General features: G+C 44.1%; 1 pseudogene; it reads right to left on the bottom strand.

The window, feature by feature from the left end:
- Nucleotides 3,431-3,933, bottom strand: RPL32P20 (ribosomal protein L32 pseudogene 20; annotated as a pseudogene).

The following is a 4,256-nucleotide window of genomic DNA, read 5'->3' as shown; positions in this document are numbered from 1 at the left end:
AAAAAGAAAAATGGGCAGAAGATATGAATAGAAAGTTCACAGTAAAAAACATAAATGGTTTTTAAAATACAGAAAGACACAACATAAGAGATAATCAAATTGAAACAACACTGAGATGCCATTTTTCATCTATCAGGTTGGTAAAAAAATTAAATATTGACCACACATTGTGTGTGTGAGGTTGGGTAGAAACTGGTAAATTGCAGGAGAGAGTGTAAATTGGTACAAACTCTATGGAGGGCAATTTTGGAATACTAGCAAAGCCATAAAAGCATATATACCCTTTGAGCCATCGATCTCATTTCTGGGAATTTACCCAACTGATAAGCTTGCTCAGTTACTAAGTGACAAATTATTGCAGTATTGCTTGTAGTAAAACCTTGGAAACATACATAATGTCCCTCAAGAGGAGACTAATTAAATAATCCTAGTATATCCATTCCGTGGAATATATGCAGATGCCAAAAAGAATACAAATATTTTTATATATTATAAGAGATTCGGGATGTATTGGTACTTGAAATAGGACGCAAGAGGTGTTTAGGTATGCTACTTTGTGTGATGGAAGTGCGTGGTGATAAGCATATACCTTTATACATGTTTGTTTTCTGTAGGAATCTCAGGAAGATAATAAAGGTGGTTATTATGGCGGGGGTGGGGAACTCAGTGGATAGCAGGCAAAAATGGGAATAAGAACTTTTCCTGTGTGCCTTTTGAAACTGCTTATTTTGTAAGCTATTGAAATGTATTTCCTATTCAAAGTTACTTGATAAGCATTGAAACCTTTGCAAAGTTAGCACAAAGTCACTGTGGAGATGGAGGGGTGCAAGGCAGAGGGGAGAAGTGGCTCCGGTTCTCCAAGGAGGAGCCTGGATAGGCCCCTCAGAGTCTCTGCTCACAGGTGAGGGGCTGGCCAACAGACCACAGGTCATAATACTCCCAGTTGTGTGAGAATGAGCAACCCCAGACCATCCAGGCAGCCCTGAGTCAGCATCCAGGCCTGCCTCTGCATGCAGAGAAGTGGTTTTCTCAAGGTGAGTCCATGAAGAACGTGCTTCTGGCCTGAGTTATCTGTCTGGGGCAAAACGCAGGCTTTACCAAACTTTCCCAACTGGAGGACACACCCAGCTGTCTGTGGCGAAAGCCAAGGTTGTGTCCCACAGTCGAAGCCAAATAGAGGCCCGAGGAGGCTGTCCAGAAAACCCAGCAATGGCAGAGGAAAAAGAGAGCTTCCATCAGCCATCACCTAGTCAGACGGTTCACTCCCTTTCCTTCCTGAAAACACAGCGTAGCCCAAGGAAAGACAGTGTGGGTTTCTGTGTTAGATAGGGGAGCAGCTTCCAGCTCTGATGCTCAACAGTTAAGGGTAACTCCGGACAAGTCACTGAAGCTCATGAGAACTCAGTTTCCTATCTATGGAATGGGTACGCTTGTGCCCAACTCACAGAATTCTTGGGAGGATTAGAAATAATGCATGTAAAGTGCTTGGCATTTTGTGCTCAGTTCAGGGTAACCACGTGGGATCCATGTGTTAACATATCTTTCACTTCCAGCTCTGCCTAGTGGAGACTTTCACCGGGGAGAGATCTCTGAGCAACTACCTAGCTATTATCTAGCCTCATTAGATAATTGGTTATGTTTACATAGTCTAGGTTTAGCCAGATGGGGCAAAGGGACTAGTTCAGGAATGGCAAATACCCTGACCATGTGTACATGTCATATTTCTACTCTATGCCTAGGGTAGACATTGCTAGTCTACCCTAGACATTTCTAGTCTACCCTAGACATCACTAGTCTACCCTAGACATCGCTAGTCTGCCCTAGACATCACTAGTCTACCCTATGGCATGGAGAATTCTTCTCAATGCCGTGTTCCAGACAGCCATTGTCCATTGACTGCCGTGCAGAAGAGGTGAAATCCACTTAGCAATTCTGGATAGATATCTAAAGCCCCATCACAATCTTGCTTCCTCTGATTTCTCAGTTTCTATCAAAAATGACAATAAAAAACACTTTTAATATTTAATTTTAAAGAACATTAAAATAGATGACCACTTTCACATTATTTAATTAACATCAAAACATTTGATGTGATGTGGACCAGGTCACAGGCAGAGCTTTCCCGCAAGGTTCTACTATACCTGGAGGGACTGTCACCTGGCATGAACTCAACCCCTGCCTGGCTCACCTTTCGTCAGGAGATTCTGTAGGACCAACACATGTTCTTCTGCATTCGCACTTTTTATTTTGTTTCTTTATTTTGGAGACAAGATCTTGCTGCGTCACCTAGGCTGGAGTGCACTGGCACAATCACAGCTTACTGCAGCCTCAAACTCACAGGTTCAAGCGATCCTCCCTCCTCAGCCTCCTGAGTAGCTGGGACTACAGGCATGCACCACCCCATCCAGCTAATTTTTTTGTATTTTTTGTGGAGACGGGGTCTCACAGGCTGGTCTCAAACTCCTGGCCTCAAGCTATCCTCCCACCTTGGCTTCTCAAAGTGCTGGGGTTGTAGATATGAGCCACCGCACCCAGCCTACATTTACACGCTTGAAATAAATTCTGTGTATCCAGTTCACTCGGCACTAGTTCTCTAGGCTTTGTTGTGGTGGACCTGCGGGAAAGGGAAGGGACAGAAGATATTTATTTAGTACTGACTGTTTGCTAAACAATCTATTTAATCTTTTCTTTTTAGTCATCTTTTGAGGTAGATGTTACTACCCCCATTGTACAGTGGTAAAATTAAGGCTCAGAGAGTTTAAATGGCTTCTTCCCAAGGTCTCAGAGCCAGTAAGCTGACTGAGTAAATTTCTTGCATGTTTAAACAACAGTTATGAGGCAGAACAAATCCTCCCAAATAAAACTTGTCTGGATCTGATTTCTGTTTGTTCCTTAACTTGAAGTGTTGGAACATATCTGGGGCCATAGAGTGGTAGAACTGTTTAATTTGGATGCACAGTGTACATGGTTTCACGATTATAGCTCGTTTTGTTTTGTTCTGATTTCTGCAGCACTGTGGAATAGTCAGCCCACATCCCTATGGAACCACCCACCTTTCCAAAAAATCCTCCAAGCTGGTAAAGGCTGGATTGTCAAGGAAGTCCCCCACTGTGCCTTTTTCTTTCTGGCAGCCCTCTGCTCCATTGATGAAGGTTCAGCCAGGAGTCCTGGGCTGCCCCTCCATCAAGACCAAGCTGGCTCACGGTCACTTGTGACAATAAGTAAAGCATCCCCATCATCATCATCAACTGACAAAAACTGATCCCACCCCAGTCCCCATGCTGGGGCCTGGGTGCTAAAGACAAGATCTCGGCTGAGCACGCCACTGCCTGGGCCTCAGAGTGAGCTATGCGCTTGTACTTTATAAGATGTACCTCCGTTTATCCACACCATGGATTATACCAACTCATGGGATAAATGCTAATTCTTTTGGCAGTTTTTACAGTTTTATTTAAACACAAACGTGCACATGAGCTGTCTACTCATTTTCTTTGCCACGCTGCCTGGCATTAGGGTTGGTGACTCTGATGGCTAGCTGGGCGGCTCTTTCCATGTTGGCTTTGTGGTTCTTGGAGGCAACATTGTGAGCGATGTCAGCACAGTAAGATTTATTGCACATCAGCAGCACTTCCAGCTCCTTGACATTGTGGACCAGGAACTTCCAGAAGCCACTGGGCAGCATGTGCTTTGTTTTTTGGTTGCTCCCATAACCAATGTTGGGCATCAAGATCTGGCCTTTGAACCTTCTGTGAACCCTGCTGTCAATACCTCTGGGTTCCCATCAGTTACACTTAATTCTGACATATCAGTCTGACTGGTGACGGATGAACTTCTTGGTTCTCTTTTTGACGATCTTGGACTTCACAAGGGGTCTAAGGGCGGCCATGATGCTGAGGAGATGGCTGCCACCTCATAGGCAGCGCTGAGGAAGAGGATAAATGCTATTATTAAACCCATTGTACGGATGAGGAAACTGAGACTCCAGAGGGTGAAGTAGCTTGTATAAGGTCATGTCCTTAGCAAGTGCATCTGGATTTACATTCTGAGCTCTTGACTAATCTATATTGCCTCCAATGGGCTCCTTCATTAGAGACTTGTAGTAGTTAGATTATGTCTAATTATGAGTAATAGAAAAAAAACCCAAATAACAGCAGTTTAAGCAACATAGACGTTTACTTCTCTGTTGTGTCCAAGGCATTCCAAGGAGCTGTCTGGGCTGGTATGGAGCCCCAGAGTGTCAATGAATCAGGTTCCTT

This window comes from Homo sapiens, chromosome 8, assembly GCF_000001405.40.
Source record: "Homo sapiens chromosome 8, GRCh38.p14 Primary Assembly".
NCBI lineage: Eukaryota > Metazoa > Chordata > Mammalia > Primates > Hominidae > Homo > Homo sapiens.
The sequence above is the reverse complement of the archived record's forward strand: the minus strand, read 5'-3'. Positions and strand labels throughout refer to the sequence as shown.